Raw genomic sequence first — 19,731 nt, 5'->3', positions numbered from 1 at the left:
TTCCCCCCTCAATCCCTGGGAGCAAGTCTGGAGCTAGTTGAGGCCACAAAAGTCGAGTCCTCTAGGAGTGCACCAAAAGGGCCCCTCTCTCAGGGCAGTGGGTGATGTCCACACTGCATCAGCCTACACAGCAGCCCTCAGAGGTGTTTCTGGGCAGCGGGCCTTGCAGGCACACAGTGGCATGGGCGGGGGGCCAGAGGCCATCAGCCCTGAGTCCAGCTCCCTGCGCTGGGGAAGCTGAGCACGCTGACAGGCATTCAGAATTCCCATAGGCCGCTGAGCAGGGCGGGCCGCAGCTTCCCTGGGGCTGGACTTACCTGGACGTTGAAGAGAAAGGTGGTCAGTAGCTGCAGCTCGTGTGTTGACTGCAAGTTGATGGTGGCCAAGACTGTTAAAGGGAAGAGGAGAGAGAGAGACAAAGCACTGTCTCAAAGCCAGGGACCTTCTAGGTGACCCCAGACCCTTCTCAATCCACCAGCACAATAAAGTAAGCGGCCCTGACACCGTTTCCCACCTCCAGTTAGAAGTCAGCCACAGTCAGGCGCGGTGGCTCACACCTGTAACCCCAACACTTTGGGAGGCTAAGGCAGGTGGATCACTTGAGGCCAGGAGTTCGAGACCAGCCTGGCCAGCATGGTGAAACCCCCTCTCTACTAAAATACACAAAAAAATTAGCCAGGGTTGGTGGTGCATGCCTGTAATCCCAACTACTTGGGAGGCTGAGGTGGGAGGATCACTTGAACCCAAGAGGCAGAAGTTGCAGTGAACTGAGATTGTGCCATTGCACCCTAGCCTGGGTGACAGAGTGAGACTGTGTCTCACAAAAATAAATAAATAAATAAGTCAGCCAGGACGCCAGGAGACTTATCTTGTTGTCTTGGAGACTCCGCCACAGCAGCACAGAGCTGAGAGGCAGTCACTCGCTGTGCACCTGATCTCAATCAACTGTGACTTCTACAAGCCGAGCATGCACTCTGTTCCTTGTTCTTTTGTACGAACCAGAGCCTGATCCTTCCTTGGCACCCCAAGCATCCGGTCCAAGGTAATGATGTAAACAAAGATTCCTCTCTGATTTCTTGATAAGGGCTAATTCTGTATTCTACCCCATAACATGTTCCGTTTAAAATTTAAAATGCTATTTTCAGTGGCTTTCTATCAGTGAAACATATGCTCAAGAAAGGTGCGCTCTGTTTGGCTGACACCCGGGCATGCCCACGCCCACCCCAGTGGCACAGCCTTATCCTGGGGCCCCTCACCTGCCTGCTATCTGCCTAACAGTCAGTTCACAGGCACAGCCTAGGCACACACCAGAGAGGCTGAGCCAGCCTGGCAAGCCAGGCCACCCTGATGCTCTGCTGCAGGACGAAAGCCTCTGATTGCCAGTGAAGGAACGCAAGCGACAGCTGGGGCTCCGGGGAAGTGAAATAACTTGCCTCTAGGTCACAATAATTGGCCTCAGGTAGCGGCAGAGCGGGACTGCACACCTGGGTCTCCCTGACACCATACCATAGCTCTGCCCTGTCCCTGCCCTCCAGCAGCCCACTGGGTGGGACCCTCCACCCAGACCCCTCCCCTCAAGCCAGAAGCCCTTTGAAGACAGGAGGCCAGTCTGAAACTGAGCAGGCTGAACTCAAAGTCCGCAGGATGCACAGGGCTAAGTGAACACAAGCATCTCTGTCCTGTCCTTCCTGATACGTCTCACAAATACAAGCGGAGAGTGGACAGGTAGACGGCCATGAGGAACAGCAACAAGAAGAGACACTGGCAAATCCTGGAACACTGAGAAGGACACAGGGACAGTAAATGGTCTAGGAGTGCGGAAGGGGTGACAGTCGGCTCCAGCTCCAGCCCAAGGCCTCACCCCACTCCCAGCCCCAGGACCTGGTCACCATGAGATGGGAGGATGCCCTGTCCTCAGCCTTCATCCTCATTCCCACCTGGGCCCATCCCCTCCTCGGGGGCCATCCTGCCTGAGAACCCTGGGCCCGAGCTGCTGCGGGAGTGGGCGTGTGTGGCAGGTGGAGGGGAGGGCGGGAAGAGGAAGAAAGGCAGTGTCCACAGCACATTCCTGTCCACCGCCGGCCTGGCCCAGAACAGCTGCGGCAAGAACCCAGGACTTCTCCAGAAACACTCAACAGTGGCAGACACAGCCCCACACTCCGACAAGTGAGTGTCCCTTCTTGAAAAAGCCCCACGGCCCAGTCATCCCAGGGGGAAGAACTCCTGTCAACAGCCTCTCCCACACCCGGCGCTCCGAGTGGCAGCCGAGAGCCTCTTTCCTAAGCTGCTGGGTAGCGGCTGATCCAGAGCATCCCCTCGCGCAGGAGATGGAGTGGAACAGCCAGCAGAAAAACACGCGGGCAGCGCCGGGGAAGGAACGCGGGCAGCGCCGGGGAAGGGAACGCGGGCAGCGCTTTTGTAAAAAGCAAACTACCCTCGGAGAGAAATAAGAAAGGTAGTATCCATTTCTAAAGTATGCTATGAGAAGAGAAATACATTCAAGAAAAACGTGACCCAGGAAATGACGGGAGGACTGGAAGATAAAAGCTCAGGAAGTCACCCAGAAAGAAGAGCTGAAAGGCACAGAGATAAAGAACAGAAAAGACGTAGACAATCTACAGAAGCACCCAATACACAAACACAAGGATGACCGAAAGACCCGAGGACGAGAGGGTGGAGCACCACGAAAGACACGCACAACCCGCACGGCCCACCATGGTGAGCGTAACTGGGCCGCTCCCCGGATGCGCAGCAGCACGAGAAGGGGAGGGCGGGCTCCCTGAGGAACTTGGCCGGGGGCGAGGAGGAAGAAGACCCAGGAAACGCTCGGGAGCCGGAGTCCCCTGTGCCGAAGCAGCAACAGCAGGTGCCGGGAAGCCACGGAGCACCAAGAAACATCCTGTTTCCTGGAACTCCAGGAAGCAGGATTCCACGCGGGATGCAGCCAAGCAGCAGACCCCCCACCATGCAGGCCAGAACAATGAGAGCGAGGCCTCCACACGAGCCGGATCAGACCCAGGCAGAACCGGACAGGCACAGGACCTGAGGAACACCATCGACAGGCATCTGCGACATCTCTGGCAAAGCATTTGTTTAAAAGAGAAAGCGGCACCAGGGGAGTTGAGGGGAGGAAAGAGAATTGAAATGAAAAGAAAAACAAACAGAATAATTACACTGAAAACTAAGCACACTGCAGAGCCGGCTGGCACCCTGAGAATTCACAGATACTGTGCAGGGCATCACCCACGTGGCAGGTGCCTGCAGTGAACCGTTGTCATACACATCCGCGAGGCCCACGCTGGCGCCTATCAGGGCTGAACAGCCATGCTGGCAGGAAAGAACACTCATCACCTACTGGAACAAGAAGTCAATAGGCAGAATTTTTTTTTTTAACGGAGTTTTGCTCTTGTCACCCAGGCTAGAGTGCAGGGGTACCATCGGGGCTCACTGCAACCTCTGCCTCTCACATTCAAGCAATTCTCCTGCCTCAGCCTCCCAAGTAGCTGGGATTACAGGCACCCGCCACCACGCTCGGATAATGTTTTTTGTTTTTTGTTTTTTTTTTGAGACGGAGTCTTGCTCTGTCGTCCAGGCTGGAGTGCAGTGGTGCAATCTCGGCTCACTGCAAACTCCGCCACCCGGGTTCACGGATTCTCCTGCCTCAGCTCCCGAGTAGCTGGGACTACAGGTGCCCGCCACCACACCCGGCTAATTTTTTGTATTTTCAGTAGAGACAGGGTTTCGCCATGTTGGGCAGGCTGGTCTCGATCTCCTGACCTCATGATCCGCCCGCCTCGGCCTCCCACAGCGCTGGGATGACAGGCCTGAGCCACTGCCCGGCCAATAGGCAGAACTTTTAAAGCAAACGATGCAGGGCTGTATGTTCACAGTATTTGGAAATAAGAAGGAAAATATCCAAAGAAAAAGTCAAAGAGTTGAAAATGGTCATTTCTGGAGAATGTAACGAAGAGTAGGCAACACTGTATTTCTCTACCAACATTTTCGATTATTTCACTTTTAGACCATTTAATTTTTTTAATTAAAAAAAAAAAAAAGAAGTTATTCCGGGCAGCAGGTGGCAACAGGGGCACGCAGGTGGGTGCCTGGAGGTGGGAGGGCCACAGGGAAAAGCAGTGGCGGCTCCCGGGCTTCCTTGCAAGGCCTGAAACCGGGAGGCCGCCAAGCGCTAAAACGTGCTCCAGCACCAGGAGTCTCCCAACACAGCCACAGCCCTGCGGAGCCCGGAGCAGGCCTTGGAAGCAGCCGTGGGGAGACGGCGCCACCGCGTGGAAGCCGTGGGGATCACTGCTGGTCCTCCCCATGCCGGAGACACGAGGTCTGGGTCCTTGACTGACTCTGCCTGGGGACAAAAGCCTTTTCCTCGCCATTCATGGACCTTCACTCCCTGGGTGCCAGCTAGGCGCTGCTGCAGGGATATAGAGAGATCTTCCAGCAGCTCGGTCTGTGGAAGGAAATGCAAAAGAAAGAAAAGAAAGCGTGGAATGTGCCAGAGCAGACACAAGCACGGGTGCAGGAGGCCACAGGAAGGGCCCCGCTGCAACGATGGGAGGGCGCTATGCTCACCAAGGCCACAAACCACGCCTGGGCCCCTGAGCACAGCCTGAACCAGCCAAAGCCCAAGCCCCGCCAAGAGTACTGCTGGGTGAAACAGATGAATGACATAAATAAACTACCTGGAAGGTGAGAGGGCGAAAAGAAAGCAGGGAGAAGGATTGAGTGAGCCCCACGAAGGAAGAAGTTCAATTTCAAGTGTGGTGCTACAGAAAGCCTCGCTAACTTCGGAGAACAGCCATGTAGCTCTCTGGAAGAAGAGCAAAGCCCCCCAGGCTGGGGATCTGGATGTTGGAGGAACAGTAAAGAGGGTGAAACGGTGTGAGCAAAGGGAAGGAGCAGGAGGTGAGCTCAGCTAGGTCCTGGAGGCCAAGTGGAGAGGCCTTTCGAGGTCATTCCCAGAACCTGCGCTTCACTCTGAGTGTGACAGAGATGCCTGGCGTTCAGCAGGATAGGGTAATCTGGACGACATTTTCAGAGGCACACGGAGGCTGATATGCTGAGAACACATTATGGAGTCAACAGTGAAAATGCTACTGCAGCAATGCAGGCCAGGGGTGCTGCTAGCAGGCAACTGCTTAGGCCTGTAGGGATTCCAGGAGCACTGGGAGATAAAGCAAACAATGGCTTAGGTGCCAGGCGGAATGGAGAGGAGCTCACAGTCACTACCAGGTTCGGGGCCCATGCAGCTGGGAAGAACGGAGCTGCGATGTTCTGAAAACAGGAAGCCCGCACGTGAAGCAGTCATCTGCAGAGTGCCCTTGGAGCCCGAGTGCCCAGCAGGGCAGGAGAACAGCCACCCAGCCAGCCACGCACCACAATCTCTCACACAGACCCTCCCCACTCATGGAACCCAAGGGTGTCTGCAGCCCAGTGCCATATGCACGGGAGAATAACAGGCACCAGAGAAACTCCTACTTGGGTCGCAGTCCCACAGCGGGAGCGTGCACAGCCAGCCCAGGGCCGCCGCCAGCCCCCACGGCCCAACACAAGTGCAGTTACCTCCCTGGACAATCCCCTTGCTCAGCCCATCCTTGTTGTCTGAAGTCAGGAGCAGTTCCACAATGCCACGGTCCTCCAGTGCCTGTGGGGGAAATGAGACAAGCCCTCGTCTGCCCTGGCTCCTTAGAGCTTCTGCAGTGACACACAGCTGCAGTTGGGTAGCCTGAAGAGCTAGAAGGAGAGATGACAAATAAAGCGTTTATTTCTCTGCCAAAAACAGAAAAGTCTCCTGCCATCTGCACCGGCCATGCTCAGCACAGCTCCAATCAGCATGAATTCCCATCACAGCAGGGGCAGGGCTGGCAAACTAGGGCAGCCCCTGGTTGCTCCGGATCTGGAAGGTGCCCGGTGGGCCAGCTAGCATGCCTAGGCGAGTCTACACTGAGGCCAGCTCAGGGAAGCCTGCTGCCGCGTGTCACCCGCCACTGTCTGCTGGGCTCCAGCGAGTAGGTCAGGCCTCCAGGACGACACCTACATCCTTCCCTTCTCTCACAGCACAAGCAACAGGCCTGTCCCTTCCCCACGCTGGCCGGTGTGGGTTTGGGGGATGGCAAGGCCCAGGAGGGCCCACCATGCCCTGTCACGTGCCCACGGTGCACTGCCCATGCCCAGAACAGCAGGAAGCATCCTCCCAGCTGTAAAGCAGAGAGTGAAGTGGAAGAAACGCTGTGCTTGAGGGGCAGTGACGACAATCACCACTCAGAGCGTCCCCTGACATCCGCAGAGCAGTCACTGCCACGCCAGGCCCTCCGCTCATACACAGACTGTCCTACGCGAGCCTTGCAGTTGCTGTCTTCACAGTAGAGACGCGCCTCGGAGGCGTGAAGTCAAGCATCGCAGGTTACAGGGCCCATGGCAACGTGGGCCTGAACCCAGAGCCAAAGGCTCTGTGCTGAGGTGCTAGGATCTTTTGGATCAAAAATCCCAACAGAGGTGTCTTCTCGTAATCTTCCCTGCAGATATTATGCCAAGACTGTTTATTTCCGCTGAAATCTTTTGGAAGTGGATAGACAGCGAGATCATCTGCTGGGCGAATAAGGCTCGTGTCCAGTCCCACACGCGGGGAAGGAAAGAGCAGAGGGGGCTCTGGTCTCAGGCACAGGAGAGCTGCAGAGTTCAATCCATGAGCCCAGGTGGGATTAATCAAGAGTCCTGTATCTACCACCTCACACTATCATTCACTGATATTTAGCAAGCATTTACTTAGGTCCCTACCACATACACACACACTTAACATTTCCTGGGCATTCATTTACCGACTCCACCCCAGAGGGGATAATTGCTCCCGCCTGAGCACCAGAGATCTGCAGAGCTAGGCTGGGAGCAGGCACCTGTTCTCTCACACCACTCTCCCAGCAGCCTCAGAGAGAGGCTGGTGAATTCTCCCAAGAGCTTCCGGACCACAGAGGCTGGACGCTGCTGCTTCTCTTTGCCCACCTGAGTCACACATGGGCGCCTCCGCCCCGACACCAGGGAAGCATGAGTGGAGCAGGACGTCCCTGAGGGAGCTGCACTCTCCTCTCGTGGGGCTCTCCTTCTCTGCAGCTGAGTAACTGAGTCAACAACCGCTGAGAGGCCCCAGGGCCAAGAGACAGTCTGCGGGAATGGGGTATCGCAGGAGACGCTTCAAGTCCTGTGCTGGGATGGGATCTTTCTGTAGGAAGCTGAAGGAGTGCCCTACTCCAGGCCGTGGCTGGGCATGGCCATCAGAATGGACCTTGCCCCTTTCCAGCTTGAGGAATGCCACCCTTCCTGGACACGGCCTTGCTTCCTCCTAAGAGGGCTTTCTGCAGGTGAGAAGGGGGAAGAGTACGCATGAACCCACAAGTTGAAGGGACTGAGCCTCGGTCTCCCACGTGGAGGGACTGAATTAATTTCCAGACGGAAAATGCTCTGCACGTCGTAGCAGAAGGGATGCTGCCCAGGCATCAAGGCCCAAAGCCGTCCGGCCTTCAGGTAGGTGGAGTCACTGCGGCCACTTACACTTCCTCAGCTCACACCATGGCCGAACCTCCAAGGTACTCCACAGCAAATGCCAATGATTCCATCAAGGTCTTATTTATTGACGACTTACTAGAACAGTACTGAGCTGCGGGATATCACATCATACTCACAATTTGGAAAGGTAAATACTCCTATTAGTCACACTTTATAGAAGAGAGAAAGGAGGTTTAGAAAAAACTCGAGGCATTTGTTCAAGGTCTCAGCTACTAAGGGACAGAAAGCAGATCTGAATGTAGCCTGTTATTTTAAGTGTGGCTCTGCCCTTCGCTGGTCAGTCATGCATTGAGTCAGTGGCTCTCAGCCTTCCCTACACACTGAAACCAGATGTCTGAGAACCCCAAGGATTCTTCTTTGCTTGGTATGGTACATGGCCTGGGCGCAGGGATTTCTTAAAACTCCCCAGATAGAGCCAGTGTGCAGCCTGGGCTGGGAACCACTGCTTTAGACTTTAGAATTGGAGCCGCCTCTCCAGGAAGCCTTCCTAATCATCACCACGCAATTAAGCCAATTCCTTTATTCCCAGCCCCTGCAATACCAGGTGTGTACTGAAATTCCCAGATGAAACTCAATCAAGGGTAAATAAGTGACAACCCTGTTGAAATAAAACAACAGAGAAAATTCACTAATACATGATGTTGGAGGATGTATTAATATGAGAAAAATATTAGACCCACATGTCACACCACAGCCTATAGCACACTCCAGAGGAAGGAATCTAAAGAAACGCACTAAGAGGATTCTTACCTTCTTGACGTAGGGCATGTATGCGGGGTCTTTATTATAGGAACCATATTCATTCTCCACCTGCACGGCAATGATAGGTCCCCCACGCTTGTACTGCGGAGAAAAGACAGAAAACCAGGAGCTGAGTGTGCAGGGGAACTGTAGTATCCAACCCTGCCACGCCCATCACCAGTGACTAGCAAAAGATCCCATTGAAAACTAAAATCTCAAAAGATTAGTATCAATAAGACAGTGGAAGAAGCACTAGGCCCTTGTTCTCCCATGAAAACATCAAGAAAACAACTCCAGACTGACTAAAATAACTTAATAGGAGCTCTGGAAACCATTTAAGTGTCTAACCAAACAAGTGACCACCAAATCAAAACAAAAAGTCATATGCAAAATGGTACAAAATTGTATGATGTTTTCACAAGTTCTTGCCCCACCCCAATGTAGCATGGTGTGGTCAGGAGGATGCGTCCCAACTCCCCGCTCCCTCATGGGGAAGAAGCAAAATGGAACTTGTTGATAATGTTCTAACTTGTTTACAATGTTCTAACTTGTTCACGATGTTCTAACTTGTTCTGCCCAACGTACTGGTTTCTGTCTTGTCTGACATGGAGCTCAAACAGGAATCGTCAACATAGTTTGGACTTCAGGCTGGAAGCTAAAGATGGCAGCATATGAAAGCTGCCAGAGGACTATAAAGCCTTGGATGCCTGGGGGAAAAGAATTACAGCAAAAGAAAATGAAAAGCATCTAAGGCCACAAGAAGAAGCTGGGGTGAGACTCTGGGAATTAAAGACCCTTGAAAGCGACCAGGGAGGGGAGGTAGGGAGGGAAGCACACACACAGATACAGACAGAACACATGCCCAGAAAATATCAGCTCTTAAGTCTTCATGTTGGGCTGATCTCCGGGCTTAGGGGCCCACTAATTAGTGAGGGTTCCCCTGAAAACATGCAAAAACTGAAATAGGTGTTTGTTTTTTCAAAAGCCCAATGTTCAACCAAAAAAACACAAACATAAAAAGAAACAGGGAAGTATGACTCATCAAAGGAACAAAATAAATCTCCAAAAGCAGTATCTGAAGAAACACACACACCAGACTCAGTAGAGCAAGATCTATAACAGCTGTCGTAAATATGCTCAAGGAGCTAAAGGAAACCAGGCAAATGATATATGAAGAAAAAGAGAATATCAACAAAGAAACAGAGATTATTTTTAAAAGAACCAAAGGAACTTCTGGGGCTGAAATATACCATATATAAATTGAAAAATTCACTAGAGGAGTTCAACGGCAGATTCAAACAGGTAGAAGAAAGAAAAGCAAACTTAAACACAGGTTATCAGAAATGATCAGGTCTGAGGAGATAAAAGAATAAAGAAAAGTGAACAGAGCCTAAGGGGCTTACACAACATCTTCAAGCAGAATAATATATGAATTATGGGTTTCTTAGAAGAAAAAGAGAGATAAAAGGGCAGGGAGATTATTTTTACAAAATAATAGCTGAAAACTTCTCCAATTTGAGGAAAGACAAGATTATATAAATCTAAGGAGCTCAAAAAATTCCAGAGAACCACTCAGGGACACTCTATAATCAAACCATTGAAGACAAAGAGAGATTCTTGAATGCCAGAAAAAGTTTTGGTCACAGGCAAGGGATCCTCAATAAGACTATAAAGGATATCTCAGCCAGAAAATTTTCAGGCCAGAAGGCAATGAGATGATATAGTCAAAGTGCTGAAAGGAAAAAGTGTCAACTTTTTTTTTGACACTTCTATATCCAGCAAAACTCAAAAATGAGGGAAAAATTAAGAAATTCCCAAAGTAAAGCTAAGAGAGTTCATTACCACTAGACCTTCCCTAGAAAAAAAACACCTAAAGTTGAAATGAAAAAATGCTAGAGAGTAATTTGAAGCTATATGAAAATATAAAGTTCTCCAGCAAAGATAGACACATAAAAAATATAAAAATATTATTATAATTTTTCTTTACAATGTGGCTTTTTATTTTCTACAAGATTTTAAAAGACATAAAATAATTATAAATTTAAGTTAATGGGTACACCCAATATGAAGACATAATTTGTGACATCAATAAAATAAAGTGGAAGGGCAGAACTGTAAAGGAGTTTTTGTGTGCAGTTGAAGTTAGGTTGGTATCAATTTAAAACAGAATGTCACAACTTTAGGATATTATATATCCTTTACCTTATCCCAAGGTAAAGGGAATCGTTATAAAAAAGTGTCACTATAAAAAAATCAACTAGATACAAAGTAAAGCAGTCATAAAGGAAATGAGGGACAAAAAGCTGTAAGACATACAGAAAGCAACAAAATGGCAAAAGCAAGTGATTCTCTATCAGTAATTACTTTGAATGTAAACACATTAAACTCCCCAATCAAAAGACATACATTGGCAGAATGGATTTTTAACAAACCGATATCCAACTATATACTATCTACAAGACACTCACTTCAGATCTAAGGATATTTATTGGTTGGAAGTGAAAGGCTGGAAAAAGATATTTTATGCAAACAGTAATCAAAAGAGGAGGGGTGGCTTTGCTAATATCAAACAAAATAGACTTTATATCAAAAACTGTTACAAGAGACAAAGACATGATAAAATATATATAATGATAAAAGGGTCAATTCACCAAAAGGATATAACAATTATAAACATATATGCACCAAATGCCAGAATTCCAAAGTATATGAGCCAAACAGTGGCAAAATTAAAGGGAAAAATAGACAATAATAGTAGGAGACTCAATATCTGAATATCAATAATGGATAGAGTAACCAGACAGAAAATTAGTAACCAAATAGAGGACCTAGACAATATTATGGACCAGTTGGACCAAACATATATATACACAACATTCCACCCAAAAGTAGCACAATACACATTTTTCTCATGGGCACATAAAACACTCTCCAGGATAAACCATATAGTAAGCCAAAAAAACAAGCCTTAATAAATTTTTCTTTTTTAAAAAAAAACAGAGTCTTGCTCTGTCACCCAGGCTGGAGTGCAGTGGCACAATCTTGGCTCACTGCAACCTCCATCTCCCAGGTTCAAGTGATTCTTGTGCCTCAGCCTCCCAAGTAGCTGGGATTACAGGTGCCCGTCACCACACCTGGCTAATTTTTGTATTTTTTAGTAGAGAATGGGTTTCAACATGTTGGCCAAGCTGGTCTCTAACTCCCGACCTCAAGTGTTCCACTTGCCTCGGCCTCCCAAAGTGCTAGGATTACAGGCATGAGCCACCACACCCAGCCTCAAGCTTTAATAAATTTAAAAAATTGAAATCTTACAAAGTTTTATTTTTCCCAATCACAATGGAATGAAACTAGAAATCAATAACCAAAAAAGTCCTGAAAAATTCAAGTATGTGGAAATAAAATCTTCACCAATAGTCCAAAGAGGAAATCACAAGAGACATTAGAAAATATATTGAGGCCAGGCGCAGTGGCTCACGCCTGTAATCCCAGCACTTTGGGAGGCCAAGGCGGGCGGATCACCTGAGATAGGGAGTTCAAGACCAGCCCGGCCAACAAGGGGAAACCCCGTCTCTACTAAAAATACAAATATCAGCCGGGCGTGGTCACGGGCACCTGTAATCCCAGCTACTTGGGAGGGTGAGTAATGAGAATCACTTGAACCTGGGAGGCGGACGTTGTAGTGAGCTGAGATCATGCCACTGCACTCCTGCCTGGGCGACAAGAGCGAGACTCCATCTCAAAAAAAAAAAAAAAGAAGACATATTGAGAAAAATGAAAATGGAAATAAAATTATGAATTACAGTGAAAGCAGTGCAAAGAGGGAAATTTTATAGCTATAAATACATTTAAAAGACAAAAGGTCTCAAACCAACAACTTAACTTTATACCTTAAGAAACCAGAAAAAGGGAAACAAACTAAAAGGTAGCAGAAGTAAGGAAATAATAAAGATTAGAGCAGAGATAGACAATGAGAGAATAGAAAAACAATAAAGAAAAATTAATGAAACCAAGAGTTGGTTATTTGAAAAGATCAACAAAACTGACAAACTGCAGCTAAACTAAGAAAAAAGATATGACTCAACTAAAATCAGAAACAACATGAGGCTATTACTGCTGATTTTACAGAAATAAAAACGATTACAGAAGAGGAATATGAACAAATTGTACGCCAACAAATTAAATATTAAATAACCTAGATGAAACACACAAATTCCTAGAAATATATAATATGCCAAAACTAAATCATGAAGAAATATAAAATCTGAACAGACCTATAACTAGTAAGGACACTGAATCAGTAACTAAAAACCTCCCAACAAAGAAAAGTCCAGGACCAGATGGCTTCACTGGTAAATTCTACCAAATATTTAAAGAAAAATTAACGCCAGTCTTCCTCAAACCCTTCCCAAAAATTGAAAGGGAAGGAACACTTCCTACCTTATTCTATAAGGTAGAATACAGTAATAAACTCTTTTCACTTTTCTTTGGGAATTTCTTAATTTTTCCCTCATTTTTGAGTTTTGCTGGATATAGAAGTGTCAAAAAAAGTTGACACTTTTTTCTTTTATTACAAACAAAAGACACTATGAGAAAAGAAAACACGGACTAACAGTCCTGATGAATACTGATGCCAAAACCCTCAACAACATGTTAGCCAACTTAATTCAGCAGCATATTAAAAGAATTATAAACCATGATCAAATGGGATTCATTCCTGTAATGCGAGGATGATTTGCCATGTGAAAAGCAATCAATGTAGGCCAGGCATGGTGGCTCATGCCTATAATCCCAGCACTTTGGGAGGCTGAGGCAGGTGGATCACCTGAGGTCAGAAGTTTGAGACCAGCCTGATCAACAGGGTAAAACCCCATCTCTACTGAAAATACAAAATTAGCTGGGCATGGTGGCAGGTGCTTGTAACCCCAGCTATTCAGGAGGCTGAGGCAGGAGAATCACTTGAACCTGGGAGGAGGAGGTTGCAGTGAGCTGAGATAGCGCCATTGCTCTCCAGCCTGAGCAACAAGAGGGAACCACCATCTCAAAAAAAAAAAAAAAAAGAAAGAAAAAGAATCAATCAATGTAATATACCGCATTAACAAAATTAAGAGGAAAAACCACATGATGATCCCAATTGATGCAGAAAAAAGTGATAAAATTCAACATTCTTTCATGATAAAAAACACTCAGTCAACTAGGAACAGAAGGAAACTACCTCAACATAGTAAAGGCCCCATACAGAAAGCCCACAGTCAACATCATATTCACTGGTGAAAGACTGAAAACTTTTCCTCTACGATCAGGAACAAACCAAGCATTCGTGCTTTCAGCACTTCTATTCAACACGGTACTGGAAGTCCTGCCAGAGCAATTAGTCAAGAAAAAAATAAAGGCAACCAAGTTGGAAAGGAAGAAGTTATCTCTGTTCACAGACAACATGATCTTAAATGCAGAAAACAGTGCACATCCCCACACCCCTAAAAAAAACTATCTAGCTAATAATTCAGTAAGCTTGCAGGATAAAAAAAATCAATGTGCAAAAATGCATTGTTTTTATCCACCATCAGGGGACAATTCCATTTACGACACCATCAAAAACAACAAAATACTTGGGAATACATTTAATCAAGGAGGTGAAATATTTGTACACTGATTGTACATTACAAACAAAATACTAAAAGAAAATAAAAGACAGTGGAGCAAGATGGAGGAATAGAAGGCTGCACCGTTCATCCGTCCTGCTGGAACACGAAATTTTAACAGTGATCTGCACGCAGAAAAGCACCATGACAAAAACCGAAACTCAAGTGACCCGTCACAGTACCTGGTTTTAACTTCATATCACCAAAAGACGCATTAAGGCAGGCAAGAGAGACAGCCTTACACCACCGATGCCACCCTCTCCCATCTCCCAGCGGCAGCCAAGTGGTGAGGAGAGAGGATCTGTGCATTTGGGGAAGGGAGAGCACAGTGACTGGGGAACTTTACATTGAACTCAGTGCTGCCTTGTCACAGCACAGGATAAAGCCATGCTGAGCTCAGCCAGCATCCACGTAGACGGAGCATTTGGACCAGCCCTAGCCAGAGAGGAACTGCCCACCCTAGTGATTGGAACTTGAGTTTCTTGGGAAGCCTCACCACCATGGGCTGAAGTGCTCTGGAGTCCTAGGTAAACATGAAAGGCAGTCTAGGACACAAAGACCGCAATTCCTATGCAACTCCTGGAGCTAGGATGAGCTTACAGCCAGTGTACTAGCACAGCGCATGGCCTAAGGAGCCACCAGCTGGCATGGCTAAGGGAGTTCTTGCACATCCCTCCCCCAAGCCCAGGTAGCGCAGCTCACAGCAACGAAAGTGGCTCCTTCCTTCTGCTTAAGGAGAGGAGAGCAAAGAGTAAAGAGGACTTTGTCTTGCATCTTGGATCCAGCTCAACCACAGTAGGAAAGGGCGCCGGCAGAGTCAAGAGGCCCTCGTTCCAGGCCCTAGCTTCCAGACACTTCTAGACATACCCTGAGCCAAAAGGGAACCTGCTGCCTTGAAGCGAAGGACCCAGTCCTGGCAGGTCCTGTTAAGGAATTGATCTCCAGAAAGTAAAAAGAATTCCTATAATCAACAACATAAAAACAAACAACTAGATTCAAAAATGAGCAGAAGACTTGAATAAACATTTCTTCCAAGATATGCAAAAGACCAATCAGCACATGAAAGATGCTCAACATCACCAGGGAAATGCAAATCAAAACCACCATGAGATACCACTTCACACCCACTGATGGCTCTCCCCAGATAAACAGGAAATAACAAGTGTTGGCAAGGATGTGGGGAAATTGCAAAGCTTGTGTATTGCTGGTGGGAATGTAATTTGGTGCAACTTCTGTGGAAAACGGTATGGCAATTCCTAAAAAAAACTGAATGTAGAATGACAAGTTGATCCAGCAATTTCACTTCTAGGTATATACCCAAAAGAAGCGAAAGCAGGGGCTCAGAAAGGTATTTGTACACCCATGCTCACAGCAGCTTTATTTACAGTGGCCAAAAGGCAGAAGCAACTCAAACGTTCGTCAATGGATGAAGGATAAACAAACGTGTTATATACATGCAATGGAACATAATTCAGTCTTAAAAAGGAAGGAAATTCTGACACAGGCTATGACACAGATGAACCTTGAGGGCGCTGTTAAGTGAAATAATCCAGTCACAATACTATGTGATTTCACTTATATTTGGTAGCTAAAATGATCAAATGCATGGAGACAGAGAGTAGAATGGCTGTCAGGAGCTGAGAGAGGGAAGAATGGAGGGTTTAACGGCACAGAGTTTACATTGGGGAAGACAGAAAAGGACTGGAGATAGACAGTGGTTGCAATAGACTGTGTTCTCCCAAAATTTACATGTTGAAATCCTAACCCCCACTGTGACGGTATTCAGAGGTGGGACTTTTGGGTGGTGATTAGTTATGAGCATAGAGTCCTTGCCAACAGGGCTAGTGCTCTTATAAGAGGGACCTCAGGGAGCTCTCTGACGCTCTCTGCCATGTAAGGTTGCATCAAGAAGATGGCCGTATATGCCCTGGAAGGGGGCCCTTCCAGACACCGAATCTGCCAGTGCTTTGTTCTTGGACTTCCCACTCTCCAAAACTGGGAGAAATGAATTTCTTTGTCTGTAAGCCACTCAGTCTAGGTGTTTGGTTGTGGCAGCCTGAACTAAGGCTGTGGAGATGAGCACACAACAGTGTGGGTGGACTCAATGCCGCTGAGCTGTACATTTCAAAATGGTTAAAATGGCAAAGTTTATGTTATGTATACTATCCCATAGTCACAAAAATTAAATAACTATGTGATTATTTAAATATGTTAAATAATAATAATTATGTTATCGTTTATTTCAAAAAGATGCATTGGTGACCCGCTGCACGTCTGCAAGTGCCTCTGAGCCTGCTCCCAGGACGGCCATCCTGCTGCCCACCCGACTCCTACAACCTGCTGATCCCCAGCTTCCCAGCAAGATCTAGGCTAATGACTTCCTAGTTCCTTGCTTCTGTCATGGTTAAGGCTGCCGGATTTAGTAAACAAAAATACCAGACATAAAGTTAAATTTGAATTCACAACAAATAATTTTTTAGTGTAAGTATGACCCATGCAATATTTGGAATATATTTACACTAAAAAATTATTCCTTGCTTATCTGAAACTCAAATATAACTGAGCATCCTGTGTTTCATCTGGCAGTTCCCTTTGATTTATGTGTGTGGTGAGTATTCCATACCACTGACTTGAACTAATTTTTTATTGATGTACTAATTTCTCAATGCCGTTCTTTCTGGTTTTACACAGCAACTGGGTTGATTTTTCCCATTCCTGCTTTCCAAAGCTTCCAATTATTATATAAAATATTAAGGTACTTCCTCCCCCAAAACGTACTTTAACGCATGTTTTGAATAGTAAGTGTGTACCATGCAGCACCTTTTTGGTAGCAGAGGGAAGTATCTCGTAAAGTCAGCGAAAGGAATTTTATAATTTATAAAAAGTCCTGCAGTCTTATAGGCAAAGGTTAATCCACATGTGCTCCACCCTGTGCAAAACTGAGCCGCAGTGCTACTGGGACACTGGTAGATAGATGGGTGTTCCCGGCTATCACCTCATCCCTGTCTCTGTGGAACCATGGAGATGCCAGTGGATGCGTGTTCCCGGCTATCACAGCATCCCTGTCTCTCCAGTGCTGTATGTGGCAATGTGAGCCCTTACATCTGTCTGTCCTTTCAGTAACGCACCCAAGTGAGACAACACTGAAATGCACAGATCTTTCCAAAGACAACTCTTGCAAGCCCCTCAGTTACGAGTCTCGGACGGTGAGGAAGAGCCTGCTCGTGTGTTCAAAACACTGGAGGACCCTTGGTCTGAGAACTAACCAAGGATGATCCACGACCTAGAGGAAGACAGACCAAGATCAAAGAAGACCCCATTTGCTTGTACCTGGAGTGGCACCACCCTGGACATCAGGTGGTCAAAATAAAGGTCCACTGCTTCGGTGAAGCCCTTGTAAGTTGTCCTCAGCCTCATGCCAGGGTCTTGGAGTAGCCAGCTTGAAGTGTAAACGGGGGAAAGGAAGGATGTTAGTGTCACAGTGGGTTTGCTGTGAGCAGGCTGTTGATGCGTGAGAAGGGAGAGGCCCCCCAGTGCTCCAGAATGACCTGTGCCCTCCTCCACCCCACTGAGCCCAGAAGTGGGGAGACAATGCAAACCGATTCTGGGGCGAGCACCCACCCGCACTCCTGCAGCTTCCCTCCCCAAGGACACAGCCTGGTGGAAGTTCATTTCCAGCTCCACAGCTACAGGGCCTGGCTGCCAGCAGTGAGAAAAGCTTTTCACAGGACTCCAGGCCTAGTTTTCAACAACTTGCTCTGTGATCCCATTTCAAAAAGTGAAGTCAAAAGGGTTAGGAATCACTGAGGCTGTGGAAGGAGGAGACACAACCTTCTAGCGTCACCCCAAAAAACAAGCCTGACAGAGACTGCGAGGGGCTGAGCAGGAGGCAGTCCCCATCCTTGCCAACGTGGCTAACGCCTTGGCATCAGTGGCGCACAGCCCAGAGCAGCAGGTGAGCAAGAGTTGAATTCTCCCTCCACCCTGTTGCTATGATCCCAAACTCCCCAGAGGAACACAGCAGCGTGGATTGGTTCCAAAGCTGGAGTCAGGGCTCTTCCTTCTCACTTCAGGTTCTGAGAAGACACATATTTTCTAACAAAAGGCTCTGAGGCTCCTCTTGCCCTGGTCTGGAAGTCCTAAACAGGGTCAGGAAATTATCCCATTTCTGTGGGTCAAACAAGGGGTGAGGAGAGAGCAGTTTCCTCCAGACCGACACCCCCACATTCTAACCCCACCTGACAGGTTAGCCTTCTCACTCACGCCCGGACGCCCCCTCCGCAGGTGTGCCCACATGCCCCTCTCATGCATGGCCAGGTGCCACATGGGCGGGGTGAGAAGGGGGAGTCTGAGTGCCACAGCTCCCCACTGCTTCTAAGTTAAGACTGTTAAACCCTTCGTCCTCCTGTGCCCGGCCCCGGCTGAGCCGAGGAAATCGCTGACGGTGGCACACAGCTTTCTAATCCACAGGGATGGGAGAGGCTGCCCTGGCTGTGTTCGTGACTAGGGTGAGCCTACCAGGCTGGATGGATCAGTGCCTGAGAAGTGGCCCTGGGTAGTGGAGACAGAAGCTATGCCCCCGAGGGAAGGGCGGGTCATGCTGGAAACCAGGAGGAAAAGAAGCCCAGGGCTCCCCAGGGACCAGGGGAGGGGAGACGGCTTGGGGACAAGGATCAGCCTCTTCCCTGAGGCAGTCTGGGTCTAACCACCTGGTACACTGGGAGGCTGAGAAAGGTTACACCAGTTAACAAGAAAATCTTAAAGGCCACAATGTTGAGGATGAGGAATGAATGAAGTCCCAGCTGATTCCTGTCCAGATTTCCACTCCAACCACAGAACACCAAACTCAGCCAAGACTAGCACTGGGAAGATGACACACGTGGGCCGAGATAGGAAGACAAAACCATAACAAGAATTTGTTTCTCTTATACTTTATCAAAATACTTGGACTTTTCAAAATATGCTTGGTAACATTCCTAAGAAAGAGATAGGGAAGGCCGGGCGCGGTGGCTCATGCCTGTAATCCCAGCACTTTGGGAGGCCGAGGTGGGCAGATCACAAGGTCAGGAGTTCCAGACCAGCCTAGCCAACATGGTGAAACCCTGTCTTTACTAAAAATACAAAAATTAGCTGCGCGTGGTGGCACACACCTGTAACCCTAGCTACTCGGGAGGCTGAGGCAGGAGAATCGCTTGAACCCGGGAGGCGGAGGTTGCAGTAAGCCAAGATCACACCACTGCACTCCAGCCTGAGTGCCAGAGCAAGACTCTGTCTCAAAAAAAAGAAACAGACAGGGAAGGTCGGATTTTTCCCATACTGCAGACACGCAGGTGAATGACCTGCCAGGACTCACAGCTCCACAGCAGAGTCCTGAAGCATGAGATGCCAGGAGGGCCAGCCCTGCTGCTGCCTGTCACACAAGCAGCCCATGCATGGCTACGTGAGGGCACTCACTGCAGCATCACTGAAAGCGATCCCCTCTGGGTGCTGCTTTTCCTGAAAAGGAAATTCAGTACAGAATGGGAACTGGAACACAATTCAGTACAGAATGGGAACTGGAACACAGAAACAAACCAGACCTATGTCTGTGAGCTTTTTGCCACAGCACACAGGACCCTTCACAACCCCGCTTACCTGGGCAAGCCCCCGAGGTCCATCTCACTGCAGATGTAGGGGCCTGGACGCAGAATCACCCACAGCCCGATCTCTGCGGCCATCAGGACGAAGGCCCTAGGGAGGTCCACATCGTCAGCCCCTCCCACGACGGCCCAGGATGAGG

At 48.1% G+C, this 19,731-nt stretch overlaps 1 protein-coding gene across 6 annotated transcripts in view, besides 2 other annotated features; it reads right to left on the bottom strand.

Annotated features, from left to right (window-relative positions):
* GLB1L2 (galactosidase beta 1 like 2) overlaps positions 1–19,731 on the bottom strand; it is a 44,337-nt gene that overhangs the window by 11,609 nt on the left and 12,997 nt on the right. For 3 of the 6 annotated variants that reach the window (XR_007062523.1, NM_001370461.1, NM_138342.4), the window contains exons 4-8: positions 19,587–19,682; positions 17,283–17,391; positions 8,323–8,415; positions 5,575–5,656; positions 318–388 (exon numbers count right to left, since the gene is read on the bottom strand). Coding sequence is in view for 5 of the 6 variants with exons in the window: in NM_001370461.1 (NP_001357390.1) it covers positions 318–388; positions 5,575–5,656; positions 8,323–8,415; positions 17,283–17,391; positions 19,587–19,682 (451 nt within the window). In the remaining variant the exon portion in view is untranslated. Of the gene's footprint in view, positions 1–317; positions 389–3,999; positions 4,463–4,694; positions 4,857–5,574; positions 5,657–8,322; positions 8,416–17,282; positions 17,392–18,867; positions 19,449–19,586; positions 19,683–19,731 lie in introns of those variants that run through there. The other 3 variants (NM_001370460.1, NM_001370462.1, NM_001370463.1) reach the window with 3 other exon arrangements.
* Positions 5,476–5,999: an enhancer, noted in NCBI's record as "H3K4me1 hESC enhancer chr11:134228611-134229134 (GRCh37/hg19 assembly coordinates)". NCBI's record gives its function as "activates a minimal SCP1, AML or CMV promoter by ChIP-STARR-seq in primed H9 embryonic stem cells {active_cell/tissue: H9 hESC(primed)}" and the evidence as "EXISTENCE:reporter gene assay evidence [ECO:0000049][PMID:30033119]".
* Positions 15,029–15,088: a silencer, noted in NCBI's record as "silent region_4099". NCBI's record gives its function as "represses an Ori minimal core promoter by ATAC-STARR-seq in GM12878 lymphoblastoid cells {active_cell/tissue: GM12878}" and the evidence as "EXISTENCE:reporter gene assay evidence [ECO:0000049][PMID:35858748]".

The sequence above is a fragment of the Homo sapiens genome, chromosome 11 (genome assembly GCF_000001405.40).
Source record: "Homo sapiens chromosome 11, GRCh38.p14 Primary Assembly".
NCBI lineage: Eukaryota > Metazoa > Chordata > Mammalia > Primates > Hominidae > Homo > Homo sapiens.
Note: the sequence above shows the minus strand (reverse complement) of the source record. Positions and strands in the feature narration are given on the sequence as shown.